General features: G+C 50.0%; 1 long non-coding RNA gene and 1 pseudogene across 3 annotated transcripts, besides 4 other annotated features; one reads left to right on the top strand and one right to left on the bottom strand.

The window, feature by feature from the left end:
• Positions 1643-1732: a silencer, noted in NCBI's record as "silent region_12491". NCBI's record gives its function as "represses an Ori minimal core promoter by ATAC-STARR-seq in GM12878 lymphoblastoid cells {active_cell/tissue: GM12878}" and the evidence as "EXISTENCE:reporter gene assay evidence [ECO:0000049][PMID:35858748]".
• Positions 1643-2214: a biological region, named in NCBI's record as "H3K4me1 hESC enhancer GRCh37_chr2:239142883-239143384".
• Positions 1713-2214: an enhancer, noted in NCBI's record as "H3K4me1 hESC enhancer chr2:239142883-239143384 (GRCh37/hg19 assembly coordinates)". NCBI's record gives its function as "activates a minimal SCP1, AML or CMV promoter by ChIP-STARR-seq in naive H9 embryonic stem cells {active_cell/tissue: H9 hESC(naive)}" and the evidence as "EXISTENCE:reporter gene assay evidence [ECO:0000049][PMID:30033119]".
• Positions 1883-2012: a silencer, noted in NCBI's record as "silent region_12490". NCBI's record gives its function as "represses an Ori minimal core promoter by ATAC-STARR-seq in GM12878 lymphoblastoid cells {active_cell/tissue: GM12878}" and the evidence as "EXISTENCE:reporter gene assay evidence [ECO:0000049][PMID:35858748]".
• TARDBPP3 (TARDBP pseudogene 3) lies at positions 2111-4770 on the bottom strand (annotated as a pseudogene). The gene has a single exon (NR_026923.1). The product of NR_026923.1 is annotated as a TARDBP pseudogene 3 (transcript).
• Positions 4771-4778: 8 nt separating this feature from the next.
• LINC02610 (long intergenic non-protein coding RNA 2610) lies at positions 4779-11343 on the top strand. 2 transcript variants are annotated; one of them, NR_026926.1, is made up of 3 exons: positions 4779-5122; positions 8658-8772; positions 10957-11343. It is a non-coding gene; the product is annotated as a long intergenic non-protein coding RNA 2610 (long non-coding RNA). The 2 variants fall into 2 exon arrangements; NR_026925.1 differs by having other exon boundaries at positions 9844-11343.
• Positions 11344-18725: the final 7382 nt, after the last annotated feature.

The following is an 18725-nucleotide window of genomic DNA, read 5'->3' as shown; positions in this document are numbered from 1 at the left end:
TCTGTCAGGATTCACTGGGCTAAGATCAAGGTGTTGGCAGGCAGGGCTGTGTGCCTTCTCCTGCCTCTTCATTCAGGGGCCACCCACATTCCTTGGAGGATGGTCCCTTCCTCCATCCTCAGAGTTCCTCGGAAGCATTGCGTCTCTCTGACCCTTCTTCCTTGGTCACGTCTCCTCCTTACTTCTACTTTTAAAGATCCTTGTGATGACACCAGCCCCCTGGAGAATCCAGGATAATCTCCCTGTATGAAGGTCTTTAGCTTAATTCTTAATCACATTTGCAAACTCCCTTTTGCCATGTAAAGTAGCATATTCGCAGGTTCTGGGAACTAGGATGTGGTCATGAAGGACATTCTCTGTGACACCTGCCTGCACCCTGGCCCAGGCGTTCTGCCTTCCATCATGAAGCAGTGTGGCGCCCGCTTCCGACATGGGCATGGGCCCCCATCCCTGCTCACCTGCTCAGGGACTCTGCTCTCCACTGCACCATTAGCTTCTCCTCCCTTCTGGATCATTCTCATTAACCTACAAACGGGCTGTAATATGAATACCTTTACTCGGAAGAACCTCCCTGGATGTGACATACTGTTAGCCTCTGTCTCAATGCTCTAAAGCAAAATTCCTTGAAAGCGTCATCTACACTTACTGCCTCCACTTCCACGCATCCCATTCCTCTTCATTCCTTTCCAATCAAGCTATTGTCCACCCTTCCACTGGAACTGCACAGTCAAAATCTCTAGTAACGAGCATGTTTCCCAACCCAGTGGGCATGTCCGCATGTCAGCTTCACTTCTCGTGGGTTATGACTCATCCATCTGGAGGCTCCTTCTCCAGTCTCAAGGGCACCACACCAGCCTTCTTTCTACCTCATCGGCCATCCTCAGTCCCCTGTACTCAATGCTCCTCCCTGCCGACCTCCAACTGGACGTGTTCTTCCCAAGGCTCTGTCCTCAGCCTTCCCTGCCGCCCTCCAACTGGACGTGTTCTTCCCAAGGCTCTGTCCTCAGCCTTCCCTGCCGCCCCCACACCCAGTGACACCATCTGGCCCGTTTTGCCAATCCCATGCCCTTGATTCAAAGCCCCTCTCCAGGCGGCTGGCTCCTCTGTATCCTCCTGTCCACTCAGTGACTGCACTTAGATGTCAGATGGGCTCACACCACCACCAAAACAACAGATCCTCAGGCATTACCACTTCTTGGTACCCCATGGATTGAGCAAAAAAATCTAGATGTCACCCTCAAGTTCACCCTCTTCCTGCCATCCCACGTCCTATCAGTCAAGCCCATGAGCACTACTTCTTCTTCTTTTTTATTTTTATTTATTAATTTATTATTATTATTATTATTTTGAGACGGAGTCTCACTCTGTCGCCCAGGCTGGAGTGCAGTGGGGGAGATCTAGGCTCACTGCAACCTCCGCCTCCTGGGTTCAAGCAATTCTCCTGCCTCAGCCTCCCAAGTAGCTGGGACTACAGGCGCCAGCCACCACGCTCGGCTAATTTTTTCTATTTTTAGTAGAGACGGGGTTTCACCGTGTTAGCCAGGATGGTCTCGATCGCCTGACCTCGTGATCTGCCCGCCTAGGCCTCCCAAAGTGCTGGGATTACAGGCGTGAGCCACCAAGCCCGGCGGAGCTCTACTTCTAAGCCCTGCCTCCACGTGTCGTCTTCTTTGCCACCGACCGAGTCCAAGGCAGCCTCGTTTCTAACCTGGGCCTCCGCAGCAGGCCTCTGACTCCCCTCCCACTCCAGTCCTGACCGTGACCTTCAAGACTCTACCCGGTTCAGCACCGCCGCCCCCCGGGGCTCCTCCCTTCCAGCCCTCCCTACGCTCTGCTCAGGCCTCTGCAAGTGACCCGAGAGCCAGGACCCGGACGGTCTCGATCAGCCAGTCGCCCAGCCCTTGAGCCCTTCCGGGACTGCCCGGAGCCGGCGCTGGGGAATACCGAGTCCCTTGGAGCCGGGTTCGGGGGGCGCCGTGAGCTGGGAGGCGCTCGGAGGAGCCGAGGCCTTGACCACGCCCCCTCCAGCCCCGCCCCGCCAGAGGCGAGCCGCGGGGCCTCCTGGGAGATGTAGTTCCGACCCCTTTACTTAGATTTTTGGTTTTTTTTTTTTAAATCAGTTTTATTTAAGAATTTCCAACAATGACAACTCTTATAAAAAGCATCCAAGCACAGGACACAGAACTGCAGCAAACAGCATTCTTATGGGTAGCTAACAGACATTAGAACTTCTACCCTTCTTTGAGACACCAGAGTTCACTGCTGAACTCTGCTTCCAAGTCCTCCTGCAAAGCACACCACAAGCTCAGTCCATGTTCTCAGCCCATCAGCTTCAGTTCACATTGCCACACTTACATATCAGTAACAGAAGAGAACACACACCATACAGCATTCACAGCAGTTGACAAAGGGGTAGGGGGAGTACAAGTATCATTTCACTTAACACATTCAAATAAAGTGGGTTATCTAAGAACAAAAACTCAAAGTCTTCCAACAGATGTGGATGTCCTTTGAATGCAAAAAACATTCGTACATTATTTGCTATCATTGCTGTCTGCACACTGTCACCAAAGCCGCAGGATTGAGAAACACATCTCGCCAAGTTAAAAAATATCCGTTATGCACCACCAAGTCTCTGCACGTGCTCTCTCCTTTTCTCACTCATACTAGCCTTTCATGCCTCAGCACCACCGTCAATCCCACACAAGGTTTCAAAAGTTCAAACAGCCTTCTAGTTCCATATCACAGCCTTGCGTTCACAGCGTTGATACGACTCTATGAAATAAAGAGTAGCAGATAAAAATGGGACACCCACCGTCAAAGACGCGGCCTGTGATGCGTGATGACGAATTCTTGAATGAGAAGGCATGTAGACAGAAGTGTTCCTATGGCAGAATATTTACAGCACTACTTTCAACCAAGTGCTTCTTCCATAAACATTTGAAATGAGATGAACTGCAGAGATTAAATGAAGGCTTCATATTGTACTTTTGTGTTTGAGGGGAGACAAGTGTTAAAAAACAAAACAAAAGAACCAAACTGTGACACCATGATCTTCTAAAAGGAGATTTTCTTAAGGAAAAAAATCCATATGGTGGGGTTCAAATTAAAACAAGGAATAAAGAATGTAGTTCTAATTCATGGCTTCCATTTTGAACATGCAAAGAACTCACTTGACAAGTCCAGGGATAAAATATTACAGGAGAAACCTTCTGATATCAATTGTAGTGTGTTGGTTTACCAATCAGGCAAACAGCAGTTCACTTTCAACCACTCAATATTTCAACCTTTCATGTAACAAAACTTATAAAATTCCTTTAGCTGTTCCTTTTTCTAAAGAAAAATGTCAAAAATACTACTGAATATACTCCACACTGAAGAAACCAATTTTGAAAATTCTTAGTACATATGTATTTTACAATATACTTACCATGAGTTTAGAAAAATTTGAATTCCAACCATTCTATACCAACCAACCACAACCCCACTGTCTACGTTCCCAGCCAGAAGACTTAGAATCCATGCTTGAGCCAAAGCCGCCATTAAAACCACTGCCCGACCCTGCATTGGATGCTGATCCCCAACCAATTGTTGCACCAAAATTAGAACCACTACAAGAGTTATTTCCAGAACCGAAGGCCTGGTTTGGCTCCCTCTGCATGTTGCCTTGGCTTTGGTTATCATCCGATGGGCCTGGCTGCTTCGCTGGCTGGCTAACACACCCATCGTACACCAACTGCTCTGCAGCACTGCCTGGGGGGCAGCCATCATGGCTGGATTAATGCTGAACGCACCAAAGTTTATCCCACCACCCATATTACTACCTTGATTGTTTCCCAAACCAGCTCCACCCCCTCTACTCTTACCAAATCCACCCTGATTCCCAAAGCCACCTGGATTACCACCAAATCTTCCACTTCTTGCTGTCTATTGCTATTGCGCTTGGGTTCGGCATTGGATATGTGAACGCTGATTCCTTTCATCGAGTCCTCTCCACAAAGAGACCGCGCAATCTGATCATCTGCAAATGGAACAAAGGCAAAGGCCCTGAACGGCTTGGGGACGAAGACATCCATCACATCCCCATACTGAGAGAAGAACTCCCACAGCTCATCCTCAGTCATGTCCTCCGTACGGCGCCCCACAAACACTTTTCTGCTTCTCAAAGGCTCATCTTGGCTTTGCCGCACCATAAGAACGTCTCCAAAGGTACTACAGTACTCTTTCAGGTCCTGTTCAGTTGTTTTCCATGGGAGACCCAACACTATTAAATCGGACTGGTCTTTTCACTTTCACTGCTGATGAAGCTTCTGTCTCACCCATTTTTCTTTTGTTATCTTTCGGATAGTTGACAACATACACCGGATTTCTCCAGCCAGCATCGGGGGCATGCAGAATTCCTTCTACCAGCCGGACACCTCTCATACATTGAGACACCGGATTCCTGCAGCGAAGCCCACACGCCCCTGGAAACTGGGCTGTAACCGTGGACAGCAGCACCGTCCCATCGTCTTCCGATGGTATTTCAATGGGCTCATCGTTCTCATCTTCGGTTACCCGAATATATTCAGACATCTTTTACTTTTCCACTAGGCCGCTGCTGGGAAGCCCGACAGGGACACCGAGGCAGCGACGGACCCAAGCGCCAGTGTTTTTTTGTTTGTTTGTTTTTTGTTTTTTTAAAGAGGCCACCACAAGTTGAGGCGGGACTACAACTCCCAGAGGCCGCCGCGGCCCGGAGGCCACGCCCCTTGGCGGCGAGCTCTGAGCCCTTTGCCGCATTTGACACTCGACATCCTCGTGCTTCTTAAAGCACTTGCCCAACGGTGAGCAACGGCCTCCAACGGTGCCCGAGGGACTCGCGCTGCCCGTTAAGCAGCTTTGCGGTGGCGGAGGCTGGGCTGCCGTCTCTCCGACATCCCGGGACGGAGGAAGAGATGAAGGCTCTGCAGCCCCCGCCGCCCGATTTACGCTTGAGAAAGCGAAGGCGAGAGAGGTCGTCCAGCCCCTGGGGGCCCAGCCCTAGAGAGCGGGGCGCGGGCTGCGGGGCCCGGCGGCCTGGACGGCGGAGCGTTGAAAGCTCCCCCAGGGATAGGAAGTGCAGCCGAAATCAACGATTGAGGTCAGTGAAGGAGCGGACGCTTGAGGCCTTGGAGGGGAAGCAGGTTTCTCCAGGAGGGAACCCGGGCCTCCGCTTTGCTCAGCGCTCCCCTCGCGAATGTGTTGAGCACCTGTTATGTGCTGGGGGTACAGAGGTGAGACTCACAAGGCCCCTGCATTGTCTTTAAGATCAGCAAGACCCCGCAGAGAACCCAAATCCAACGCGCACTGCCCAGAGGCAGACACTGGCATTCCTTGATAGACGGTAGCCAGGGAAGCCCAGGTCTTACTAGATTATTATCAGTACTTGGATTTGAATGTATCTGAGAGGAGGAGGGTTAAGGTTTAAGCTGTGGCTCAGAAGCCCCTCAGCTCTTCGTGGAATCTCCCAGGCTTTTCACTCTTGCATCCTCATGGAAAAATACTGCCCTCCCTGGGAAACCATGCTTTCTGTGCACACCTGCTCTGTTCCCATGTCGCTGTACTACCTATTGACCTGTCAATGGATGATGACACTTGGGGTACTATCCTCTCTCCTCCAGATCTTGCCCCACCTTAACCTTGAAAGAATATTAAATGCGCCCTTAGACGTCAGGAACCATCCCTCAAACCTTGCCATTCCTCTCTGTTGAACCTGCTCCAAATCTTAAGTGCCAACCTCCATCTTATCCACTTTATCCTGGGGAACTTGTCCTCACACCCCGTTGAGGTTTCTTACTTATTGTCCTACTGTTTTCTTCACACTCCAGTTTCTTAAAAACAGTCTTCATTCTCATTTTCTTCATTTCCTCATCACCTGTTTGTCCCTAACAAAATTTCAGTATGGCTACATTTCCTGCCATTCTACTATAGAAAACTTCTGCCAGAGTCTCCAATGAACTCCTGATTGCCGAGTAGACTCTTCAGTTTTCTCACCCGAACTTTGCGGCATTTGATACTCAACATCCTCATGCTTCTTAAAACATTGTTCTTGCCAGAGCACGGTGGCTCACACCTGTAATCCCGGCACTTTGGGAGGCTGAGTTAGGCAGATCGCTTGAGCCCAGGAGTTCAAGACCAGCCTGGGCAACATAGCAAGACTCCATCTCTACCAAAAATGCAAAAAATTAGCCAGACATGGTGGCCCGCACCTGTAGTCCCAGCCACTCGAGAGGCTGAGGTGGGAGTATCACTGGAGCCCGGGAAGTCAAGGCTGCGGTGAATTGAGATCACGCCAGTGTGCTCTGGCCTGGACAATGGGAGTGAGACCTTATCTCAAAAAATTGTTCTCTGTCTAGTCTTCTTGCTCTTCTTGTTCCACCATTCCTTCTCAGGTTCTGGCAGTGGCTCTTCACAACTGGATATTAAATGTTGTCTTTTTTTTTTTTTTTTTTGAGACAGGTTCTCACTCTGTCTCAGGCTGGAGGCTGGAGTGCAGTGGTACGATCATGGCTCACTGCAACCTCGACCTCCCAGACTCAAGTGATCCTCCCACCTCAGCCTCCTAAGTAGCTGGGACTATAGGCGCACATCACCATGCCTGGCTGATTTTTGTATTTTTTTTGTAGAGAGAGATGTTTGTAGTGTTGCCCAGGCTGGTCCAGCAATCCACCTGCCTCACTCCCAAAGTGCTGGGGTTATAAGCATGAGCCACCGTGCCCGGCGAATATTGTCTTCTTAAATATTGTGCCCCACATTTCTTTGCTAGGCCCTCTTCTCTAGCTTCTAGGCTGTAATCTGTATGATCTCCATGGCTTCACCTGCTGTGCTACCAGCTGCAAAATCTATTTCCAGCCCAGCCCTCTCTGGAGCTCTCATAGAGTTTATCCAAATGCCCCTGGCTGTCGCCTCTCAGGAATCCCACAGGTTCTGCAACAAGTTCAAATGTGAACTCAGCTTTCCAACAAAACCTGCTCCTCCCTTCATGTTCTGGATCCTTCAGAGCAACAAGGGCATCAATCCTTCAGGCTGGAAACCAGACGGTCCATGGAGACACCTCCCTGGAGCCCTGCCTGGGCAACCTTGACCTCCCAGGTTCCAGGGGACACTGGAGCCCTGCAGGTAGCGTCCAGGAACTGGCAATCCTGCCACTTCAACAGGTTGAACGAACAAGAGGATGAGTCTTAGACGTCCCTTTCCCCCTGTCCGGCTCCTGCATTCGTAGTTCAGGTTCTTGGCTGTCACCTGGAGAATGGCAGTGGTCATTAAGAAAACCCCCACCTTGAAGGTTACGCCCTGAGCTTCAGTCTTTTCAAAAGCCCAACACTGCAGATTCTCAAAGAATAGTAGGCCTGGTCCTCACGTGGGCCAACTCAGAACTTACTGACTGCCTCCACACCCCCTCCACCACCTTCTGTCTCCATGCCCTTGCCAGATATTTGGTTTGCTGCATGGCCAAAGCCGCTGCTCTGCCCTCTGCATGCCTCCAGGTTTGGCTCAGATAGACTGCCTGCCTGAAGCCTTTCCTGGTCACTCCTCGTTTTATGCAGTTTCCAAGGCTTCTTTTATTTCCCTGACGGCATAGTCCAGATAATGTTTGCTTGTTCATTCCACAGTTGTTAACTGGAGGCCTGCTCTTTGTCAGGCATTCTTCTAGTTGCTGGAGACAGACAGCATTTCTTCTCAAGTTTATGCTGTTATGGGCAGTTAGGCTGTTGGGTTGTTGTTGTCTTTTTTTTTTTTTTTTTTTTTTTTTTTGAGACAGAGTTTGTGCTTTGTTGTCCAGGCTGGAGTGCAGTGGCACGATCTCCGCTCACTGCAACTTCCTCCTCCTGGGTTCAAGTAATTCTTCTGCCTCAGCCTCCCAAGTAGCTGGGATTATAGGCGCCCGCCGCCACACCCAGCTAATTTTTGTATTTTTAGTAGAGACGAAGTTTCACCATGTTGGCCAGGCTGGCCTCGAACTCCTGACCTCAGGTGATCCACCTGCCTCAGCCTCCCAAAGTGCTAGGATTACAGGCGTGAGCCACCACGCCCAGCCTGTTGTCTCTTGATCCTTGAATACGCAGTCTCTGTCTTGTCTGTATTCCTGCCTCATATTTTCTCTCTCCTGCCTCTTTATCTCTTAAACCGTTGTCTCTTCATCCACATCATGGGAATGGCAGTAGTACCTACTTGTTTTGAGGGTTGAATGAAATAGCATGGAAAGCCGTTTTCTCAGTGCCTACTGTTGGTTGGAATTCCCTTTCTCTTTGTTTCCACCTCGTTCTCTTTGCGTCTTCATCCTCCCCTGCCTTCATATCCTTCTGTTCCCCATCTCACCAGCTCTCTCTTCCTCTCTCTGGCTCCCTTCCTCTCTCCTCTCTTCCCTGTCTCTCTGCCTCTCTCTGTTTCTTTCATTCTCTCGTCCCTGTTTCTGTCTCTTCCTCCAACCCACTTTTGCTGGGCTTTCCCTGCCTCTGCCCCGCCTTGCCTTCTTTGTCTTTCTCTAGCCTCCCTCTGCCTCTACCTCCCTCTCAGACGAGAGCAGGTGACTCCCCTGATGCTTCCTGCCCCTTCCCTGGTAGTGGGTGTGGAGGGGGTGACTGCCCAGCTTCTGCAGCGCCAGCGACTTCCTCCACCTTGTTCCCGCCCTGCAGGGTCTGAGCACCTCCCTCATGCAGACAGAGCCCCGGCTCCCATGTTCACCATGCTGAGAAAGACCTGCGGGGGACAGCAGGAGGACAGCCGGGGAATGGGCCCGCACTTGCCCAGGTGAGTGCTGTGGGGAGTCAGGCCAGCCCTGTGGAGAAGGCCGCTGGAAAGGGGGAACTGATGCTGCCATTCCTTATAAAAAGGGCCACCCAGTCCATGTAGCTGAGGACCAGCACCAGGCAGGATCTTTAATGGGACTCTGGGCTTTGTTAAAGGGCCACAGGCTTGTTTAGGGAGGTGGGGACAGAGTCAGGAGGGAGAAGTACCACTTCTCCTGGGAGCGGCACATGGCATGGAACAAAATAGCCCTGGGGCACGCCCTGAGCCCAGCCCTAGTTTTCTAGCTAAGGATCAGGTGAGAACCCCCAGACCTCTAGCTCCTCTCAGGAGGCTGGCTGCTGGCTGGTTCCTCTTCCAGAAGTCCGTGCAGATCCTGTCCTCTGGCTTTGCCTTGCCTAAGACCCAGTCTGCACCAAGGCTGAGTCCCTGGACTTCTGGAGAGAGAGGGCTGTCCCTTTGTGCCCTACAAGTACAGTGTGTGGGCGCCTCCCCTGGGCCCTGCACAGGTTCTGTGGCACCGGCAGCATGCGGGAAGGTGGGAGGAGGCACACCCTGCCTTTGGGAAGCTGAGAACAGATCCCTGGGGGCAACCTGTGCCCCTGTAACCAGGAGGAGTCTCAATAGGAAATTTTAGCTGCTCCTGGTGGAGCAGGGCCTCTGTCTTAAGGAGAGTGGAATTTCCGAGGGACAGACATTTCCTGACCATTTGTGTATAGGAATCAAGGCAATGAGAGAACAATCAACAGGGCATGGGAGATGAGAAAAAGGTGAGATGACCTCTGACAGGCAGGCTCCTGAAGGAAGGCTTCCTGGAGGAGGTGGCATGTGAGCCCTGCAGGACAGGTAGAGGTTGGAGGATGAGACAGAGGAGGGGGCCTTGCCTTTCAGACCCCAGGCGCCACCATGCTCCCCATCTTGACTTGGGAATTTCCCAGTGACAGGGCAGGAGTGAAGTGCAGGGCCTTCCCACTGCTGGGAATTTGGCTGTGTTGGCGCGTGGGGTCTGCCCTGGGGCGCGTGCTGCCTTCGCTAGCTTCACCCCATTTCCCTCTCTCCCCTTCTTACCATCAGAGGCAGAGCTCGTGCATGCCCGACCTCGCTCCTCACGGCTCCCTGGGCAGCAGCGCCCTGGCAGTTGGAACTGGAAGGCTTATCAGAGTCCACGCAGCCCCACCGCCCTCCCCACTCTCGGGGGTGGGCATCGGGGGACAGGGCCAGGGCAGGGAGGAAGACAGGGCCCGGCTCACCCCACAGCTCAGCCCATGAGGGTGCGCAGAGCAGGGCTGGCAGGAGTGGGCCACTCCACACCCAGCCCTGTTGAAGAGAAAGAACAGAAATAGGGAACAGAAAGTTGTCGATTGCTGTGTAACAAATTGCCCGCAGTTTAGTGCCTTCAAACAAACGTAGCTGCACAGTGTCTGTGGGTCAGACATCCAGGCCCGGGGAAGGAGCCTCTGCCTCAAGGTCCCTCCCGAGGCCTCAGTCAGGGCCCGGCCGGACTGTGAGTAGATTGCACGCTCCGTGCGGGGAGGCTCGGCTTCTCTGCTGGCCCCGCGCCTGTGGGCAGGATTCAGTTCCTCATGGGCTATTAGAGTGAGGGCCTCGATCTTTTCTGCTGTTTGGCTGGAGGCCTCGCTCAGTTCTCTGCTGCACGGACCTTTCCTTGGCACAGCTCCCGCATAGCTGAGCAAGCCGCGAAGGCGGGCTCCTGCAGCCGAAGGGAATTCTCCCCTGTTTCTGCTGTGTTCTGTTTGTGTAGGTTCAGCCCCGGGGAGGAGGTTCCACAGGACAGACAGACCAGGAGTTGGGGGCGTTGAGGGCCATCTCACAGGCTGCCCACCACAGCCCCCACGCAGCCACCTGTGTCTGTGTTCTTGCCACTGTCCCTACCCTCCAGGAGTGGGTCTGGTCTCATCAGGGAGGGCAGCGCTCTCTTCACTCTGTCCTTACTCTGGTGTTTCACTGTGATTTTAAAAACTGAAACTGCACTTGTTACCCCTTGACAGAGCTGCACCCTGAGAGGGCCTCTGCGACGCCCCTCCTTCTCTTAAGCCTTTCCAAGCTGTCTGACGATTTTTAAATCCCATTTCCTGAGTGACACAGAGCATCTTTTCTTAAGCTTATGAGTGACTTATTTGTGTTTTCCTCAAAGCTAGAGGGGACCCCCAATCTGTTTGTTTCCAGAGTCCCTGATGGTGTCGTCTTGGGAGTGGAGGAACCTGAGGGAAAAGCCCAGGGACGAGTCAGGGGAGAGCTCTGCCCTGGTGCTCTTGCACGTATCCACATGGGCCACAGCTGCACCCGGCTCTCAGCAGAGGGCATCGCCATGCTCCTGGGCACAGCCGGGCCCTCTCGCCTCCCTGCGGCTCCTGATGCCTCCCAGGCTCCGCTGAGGTCACCTTGGGCACTTAGCGTGGCTGCAGCTCTTTGCAGCCCCGTGTCCTGTCATCCATGTGGCCGTCATGTGGTCACTTTTGGGCATTGCCCTGCGCAAGGTCCATGGGGACTGGGCACCTTTGGCCATTCTTTCTTTGGTTGTCTGTGCAAGTAATAAACTAAATCTGAAAAGGTCTTCAATTTATTCACCGGCCAATCTGTCAGCCTTGGCCTTGCCTTGTGCTTGACAGAGTGGAGGGGAAAGGAGGACAGACTCGGTGGGGGGCGGGGGTGGGTGAGGAAGTCCTGGGCCAGGCACCCCCTGTTTTGAGGACGCTCCGTGTCTCCCCTCGCCCAGTGCCACATTCTGCTCTCTGCCCCTTCTTTCCACAACTTGATCCATCCCCCGTAAGGCTTGGCCACTTCTCCCTCAGGATACTGTGTTTTACCCCAGCCGCCCACCTGGAGAGCCTCCGAGGGGTCGCGGGCGCTCCTCCGGGGCCTGCCGGCATCTGAAGCAGAGGAGCAGAGGCCTAGACCTCCCTTCGCCCCCAACACCTGGCGACGGACATTTGCCGGCTCTCAGCAGCGATGCGGGAATTTTACATTGCGCGTCTGGATATACACCCACCACCTGAGTGTGCCATTCACATGTTACTGGACTTTGTCACATCTAGTTAATCCTCCCTGCTTTGATCCGTTTTATTTTTTATGCATTTCCAAGTAAATTATAGACCTCAGGCGGCTTCCCTAACACTCCAGTGCGCACATCGTTACAGTCCATTTGCCACCGGGTTTTCCTTTGGATGGAAAGCTTGGCGTTCAGTGCAATGCCCTGCTCACGAGTGAATACCTGCTGAGTTTTGACAAGTGTGTGCTGTTTTGTGCCTCAAACCCTTCTCAAGGTCCTGAGCGTGGCCATCAGAAGGTTCCCTCACACACCTTCCAACCAGTGCCCTCCCGTGCAGGAGAGTGATGCTGGAGCCTGAGGCAAGAGGAACAAAATGTGTTTTGTGTGTGTGTGTGTTTTTTGTTTCTTTTCTTTCTTTCTTTCTTTTTTTTTTTGAAATGGAGTTTTGCTCTTGTTGCCCAGGCTGGAGTGCAGTGGCGCAATCTCGGCTAACTGCAACCTCCGCCTCCTGGGCTCAAGCGATTCTCCTGCCTCAGCCTCCCAAGTAGCTGCGATTACAGGCATCCACCACCACGTCTGGCTAATTTTTTATATTTAGTAGAGACAGGGTTTCACCATGTTGGTCAGGCTGGTCTCAAACTCCTGACATCAGGTGACCCACCTGCCTTTGGCCTCCCAAAGTGCTGGGTGGGGTTACAGGCATGAGCCACTGCACCTGGTCGAAAAATGTGTTTTTCAATGTTAATTTTTTTTTCCACAATGTTTCAGTAAGTGGAAAATAAAAAAAAAATTGGGAAGTGTGTATATTAAAACTCAAATATTTTAAGTTTCAATATTTTACTTATACAAAAACGGTAAGTTTACTCTCCTTACTTAAATGCAAACAAACTCGTGAATATTTCTAAAATCTACTATCTCGTTTTTCAGTTGAGAGAATTGTCATGTGAATTTCTCTTGACCAAGTGATGATCTTAAATAATTTTTCACTAACTTCAGCTGACCGAAATTTCTTTTAAAGATGCCACCGTGGCTGGGCACAGTGGCTCATGCCTGTAATCCCAGCATTTTGGGAGGCCGAGGTGGGTGGATCACGAGGTCAGGAGATTGAGACCATCCTGGCTAACACGGTGAAACCCCGTCTCGACTAAAAATACAGAAAATTAGCCGAGCATGGTGGTGGGCGCCTGTATTCCCAGGTACTCGGGAGGCTGAGGCAGGAGAATGGCATGAACCCGGGAGGCGGAGCATGCAGGGAGCCGAGATGACGCCACTGCACTCCAGCCTGGGCGACAGAGTGAGACTCCGTCTCAAAAAAAAAAAAAAATGCCACCGTGACTGGTAGTATTAAAAAGCTTCTCATGCTGGGTGCAGTGGCTCATGCCTGTAATCCCAACACTTTGGGAGGCCAGGACCAGAAGATTGTTTGAGCCTGGGAGTTCAGGGACCAGACTGGGCAACAACGTGAGACCCTGTCTCTGCAAAAAATTAAAAAATTAGCTAGGTGATCACACCTCTGCACTCTAACCTGGGCGACAAAGCAAGACTCTGTCTCAAAAAAAACAAAAAAAAATTCAGTGTTTACAAATATCTTTAGTTTGTGAAGTGCCTTGGTTGCATTTGATCTTGATCTCCGCGGGGAATCCGTGTGTGTTTTTAATGTAGTTTTTTTAAACAGATGTAAGAATATTGAATTCACACACAAACACAAACATACAACACTAAAACAAGTCGTCACATTTCATTTCACAGAAGCAGAATTTTTGCATATCAATTATGAGCACAGCAGTTTGGGGCTGTGGTGAGCTGTGTTCATGTCACTGCTCTCCAGCCTGGGCAACAAAGTGAGACCCTATCTCTTTAAAAAAAAATTATGAGCCGAGGAAGACACAATTTGGCATAATCATTTTTGGAGGGTCATGGTAGCTTATACACCCTTGTATAACCTGCCATAGTTGTTCCATGATCTTATCCCTGGCCACAAGCGTGTTTTATGTTAACACCTTTTTCCAATCTCTAATTTCATAAGCTAGACCTAGTTTTTTCTTTGATTTCTGTAAAGTCAATGCAACTTCTTTTACTGTTAATGGCATTATTCTTCATGTGGGTGTGCTCATAGTCTGACACACTTGTTCACAATCGGCTACATCTGGTGCACAATCAAAAGTAAGGGGCTGGGCTTGGTGGCTTCTGCCTGTAATCCCAGGACTTCGAGAGGCAGAGGCAGGAGGCCGTTGAGTTCAAGACAAACCTGGCAAATAGAACAAGACCCCATCTCTTTTAAAAAATTAAATTTTTCTTAAAAAGCAGGGTGTCAGATGTGGTGGCTTGTGACTGTAATCCTAGTGCTTTAGGAGGCTGAGATGAGAGGATTGCTTGAGGAGGCAGAGCTGAAGTGAGCTATGATTACTCCAGCCTGGGTGACAGAATGTGACCCTGTCTTTTTAAAAATGGAAGCAAAAGTATTTGCTTCTTTCATTCTTGATAATATCTCAAATCAAATATAATTTTCTAGTAGCAGTACACATTTGCTTTAATGTTATTAGGCACAACATCCTTTTTTATTTTATTCTTTTGGAGACAGAGTTGTGTTCTGTTGCCCAGGCTGGAGTGCAGTGGCACGATCATAGCTCACTTTAACCTTGAACTTCTGGGCTCAAGCAATTCTCCTGCATAGCTAGGACTAGAGGTGTATACCACAATACCTGGCATTTTTTTTTTTTTTAGAGTGGGTCTTGCTATGTTGCCCAGGCTGATCTGGAACTCTTGGCCCCAAATGATCCTCTCACCTTGGCCTCCCAAAACAGTGAGATTTCAGGCATGAGCCACGGCTCCTGGTTCCCTTTTTTTATGGTTAGCTATAAATTCACCTAAAGTTAATAACATGCCACCATTTGGGCCTCCAGTAATTTCTTGTGATCCCCTAAGATGTAAAATATTTTTTGCCTAACATGTAATATCTAAAATCACTCAAAATAATCTATTTTTGTTTCACTTATTTTATGGTATTCTGCAAAGCATCATTTATTAAACTGTCAATCTGAATATTTTCAAAAGACAGTTTCATTTTAGAAAAGCATCACATGAGCCAGGTGCAGTGGCTCACTCCTGAAATTCCAGCTGCTTGGGAGGCTGAGGTGGGAGTGATGCAGTGGCCGCTCCAGACGGCCTGCCGCTGCCAGGAGCCGGGGACCAGCAGGAGCCCTGCCCCTTCTGAGCTGGGGCAGGAGCAGCTCCCCGGTGCCGCTGCAGCTGCCCAAACCGTGGCTGCCAACCCGGGCCTCCCGCTCCACGGAGCAGGCAGGAACCTCACCGGCCCCTTCCCCGCCCAGCGGCGGCTGCCCAAACCGCGGCTGCAGACTCAGGCATCCCTGCACTCTTGGGGGCCCGGGAAGGCCCTCCTCCCCTCACAGGCCCAGAAGTGCCTGCTCCCAGTGCCTGGCCTCTCCCTGTTCCTGGTGCCTGCTCCAATCTCAGAGCAAAGTCGGGGCTGAGCCCTGGTGCCATGAACGGCAGCAGAAGGCAGACAGATTCCTGGGCAAAAGAGGACGGGTCCCTGGTGAGGCCCTACCTTCAGGCCAGGGAGGGCCTGAAGGTTGGGGGCCAGGCTGCCAGTGCCGGAGCACTGGAGTGGGAACTTGTGATGCTTTCTCCGGGCTGCCCATGGCTGCCCCGGGACCAATCAGCATGCACTTCCTCCCCTTTAAGGCCAATAAAAACCTTGGCTCAACCAGAGCTGAGCAGATGGGAAAACAAGCCGCAGAGAGGAGCTACCCTCTCTGCTGAGAGTTTCAGAGACCTGCAGAGACCTTGGGACTACCGGTTGCAGAGAGGAGCAACCCACTCCAGGGCCTCTTCTCTGCTAGGAGCTGGGCAGACACTGGGACAATCCCCCTGCAGAGAGGAGTCACCAGGGCTTCCTTTCTGCTGAGAGATGAACACTCAACAGGACGACTTGCTTACAGAGAGGAGCTACCCGCTGCGGGGCTCCTTCAGGCTGTTCTAACAGTCAATAAAGCTCCTCTTTGTCGTGCTCACCCTCTGCTTGTCTGCGTATCTCATTCTTCCTGGATGCAGAACGAGAACTCGGGCAAAGGTGCCACCGGCCACAGAGGTTTCCAGTCAAAAGTGACACCCCAAAGATCCTGTAACAGGAGGATCACTTGAGCCCAGGAGTTTGAGGCCACAGATGCAGTGAGCTATGATTGATTGCATCACTGCATTCAGCCTGGGTGACAGAGAAAGACTCTGTCTCAGAAGAAGACAAAAAAGAAAGCCTCACAATAAAACAAAATTTTCACGGTCACAAATTCTGTTTAACTGTTTCCAATCTTTGGAAACTTTTTTTTTTCTTTAGTTGCAAAAGTTTGATTTTATTGCATTGCTGCAGAAAAGTATGCATGAAAAATAAGGACAATTTTTTTTGGAATACATGAGCAGTCACAATGAATTCATTTGCCATTAGAATATTGAAGAAAAATGTTTTGTCAGGTGCAGTGGCTCATGCCTATAATCTCAGCAATGCAGAGGATCCCTTGAGGCCAGGAGTTCAAGACCAGCCTGGGCAACTTAGTGAGATGCCCCCTCCCCACTGCCCCATTTCTGAAACAAAAAAAGAAAAGAAAACAAGAAAACTCTAGAAATGTCCATTGTGTGAAGTAGATTCCCTAAAATCTAAATCTTTTCCTTTGTGATCTATTCAAGTATGTGCTCTATTCAGATCATTTTTACTTTATGACAAAGTAGCAGCCACAGTGGATAATTATTGCAATTCATTTGAAATGGCATCTTCTCACTTTTTTTTTTTTTTTTTTGAGATGGAGTCTCACTCTTGTCACCCAGGCTGGAGTGCAGTGGCACAATCTTGGCTCACTGCAACCTCCGCCTCCCGGGTTCAAGCAGTTCTCCTGCCTCAGCCTCCTGAGTAGCTGGGATTACAGGCATGTGCCACCACACCCAGCTAATTTTTGTGTTTTTAGTAGAGATGGGGTTTCACCATGTTGGCCAGGTTGGTCTTGAACTCCTGACCTCAGGTGATCCGCCTGCCTTGGCCTCCCAAAGTGCTGGGATTACAGGCATGAGCCACTGTGCCTGGCTGGCATCTTCTCACTTTTTTGCTCAAACTTATGTTCGCTAGTTACTGAAACTTGTAAAATTTCTCTTTAATGTTTTGAAGCAGATCCTTTAGTTAGCTGACTTTGATAACAACTCTGTTCTGATAATATCAACATTAGAGGACTCAGTCATTTTCAGTAGCCAAAATACTGTATTTCTAGCCAAACTTATAGTTGTTTCCTATAATTTTTATATATTTCTGCAAGTATTTTTATTCTTCTCCTGAACATTGTACCTCTTGGCTTTTATTTCTTATTTATTTTTATTTTAAAAAATTATTTTGTTGAGAGAATCTTGTCCAGGCTGGTCTCCAACTCTTGGCCTCAAGCAATCCTCCTGCCTTGGCCTCTCAAAGTACTGGCATTACAGACATGAGCCACTGCATTCAGCCACTTGGCTTTTTAGATACTGAAACCTCCACCTCCCAGGCTCAAGCAATCCTTCCACCTCAGCCTCCCAAGTAGCTGGGACTACAGGTGCATGCCACCATGTCTGGCTAATTTTTGTATTTTTTTGGTAGAGCTGGGGTTTCTCCACGTTGCCCAGCCTGGTGGGCAGATAACTCGGGAGCTCAAGTTATCTGCCTGTCTTGGCTTCCCAAGTGCTGGGATTACAGACGTGAGTAACCATGCCCAGTCTCAATACCATATTTATCTAAAAACTTTTAGTATGAATTTAAAATATATTTTAATATAGTATTTCATTGTGGAAATTATAATATTGATTTACATTAATTAACTTAATATGAATTATAATATTTAACAAGTAGGTGTACATAAAATTTTGTATCAAAAATACAGAAATCTCTGGTGTGTACTGAGAGTAAAAGAAAAAAATACAGAAGCCAGTTGGTGGGAATGAAAAATGGTGTAGTCACTATGGAAAACAGTTTAGTGGTTCTTCAAAACACTACACATAGAATTATCATATGACCCAGAAATTCCACTCCTAGGTATATACCCAAAAGAATTGAAAATGGGCTGGGTGCGGTGGCTCACGCCTGTAATCCCAGCACTTTGGGAGGCCAAGGCGGGTGGATCACTTGAGGTCAGGAGTTCAAGACCAGCCTGGCCAGTATGGTGAAACCCTGTCTGTACTAAAAATACAAAAATTAGCTGGCCATGGTGGTGGGTGCCTGTAGTCCCAGCTACTTGGGAGGCTGAGGCCGAAGAATCTCTTGAACCTGGGAGGCGGAGGTTGCAATGAGCTAAGATTGCAATCTCAGCTTGCTGCAACCTCTGCCTCCCAGGTTCAAGTAATTCTCCTGCCTCAGCCTCCCAAGTAGCTGGAATTACAGGCACCCACCACCACGCCCGGCTAATTTTTGTATTTTTAGTAGAGATGGGGTTTCACCATGTTGGTCAGGCTGCTCTCAAACTCCTGACCTTGTGATCCACCCACCTCAGCCTCCCAAAGTGCTGGGATTACAGGTGTGAGCCACCGCGCCCGGCCTCAATCTTTCAATAACATTTTCGTCTCTCTTTTTAAGCACTCATCAACAACCTCGAGGCCCGTCGAGGTTCCACTAACAGTCTTCTCAAGGCCATTCCAGCCTTTGCCTGATGCCCAGTCCCAAAGACAATACCATATGTTTTGGGTTGGGTTTTTTTTGTTTTGTTTTGTTTTTTAGGCAAGATCTCATTCTGCTGCCCAAGCTAGAGTGCAGTGGTGTGATCATGGCTACCTATAGTCTCAACCTCCTGGGTTCAAGCAAACCTCCCATCTCAGCCTCCTCAGTAGCTAGGAACACAGCATGCACCACCATGCTGGCTGATGTTTTTAGTTTTATAGAGATGGGGGTCTCACTGTGTTGCCTAGGCAAGTCTCAAACTCC

This window comes from Homo sapiens, chromosome 2 (assembly GCF_000001405.40).
Source record: "Homo sapiens chromosome 2, GRCh38.p14 Primary Assembly".
Taxonomy (NCBI): Eukaryota; Metazoa; Chordata; class Mammalia; order Primates; family Hominidae; genus Homo; species Homo sapiens.
The sequence above is the reverse complement of the archived record's forward strand: the minus strand, read 5'-3'. Positions and strand labels throughout refer to the sequence as shown.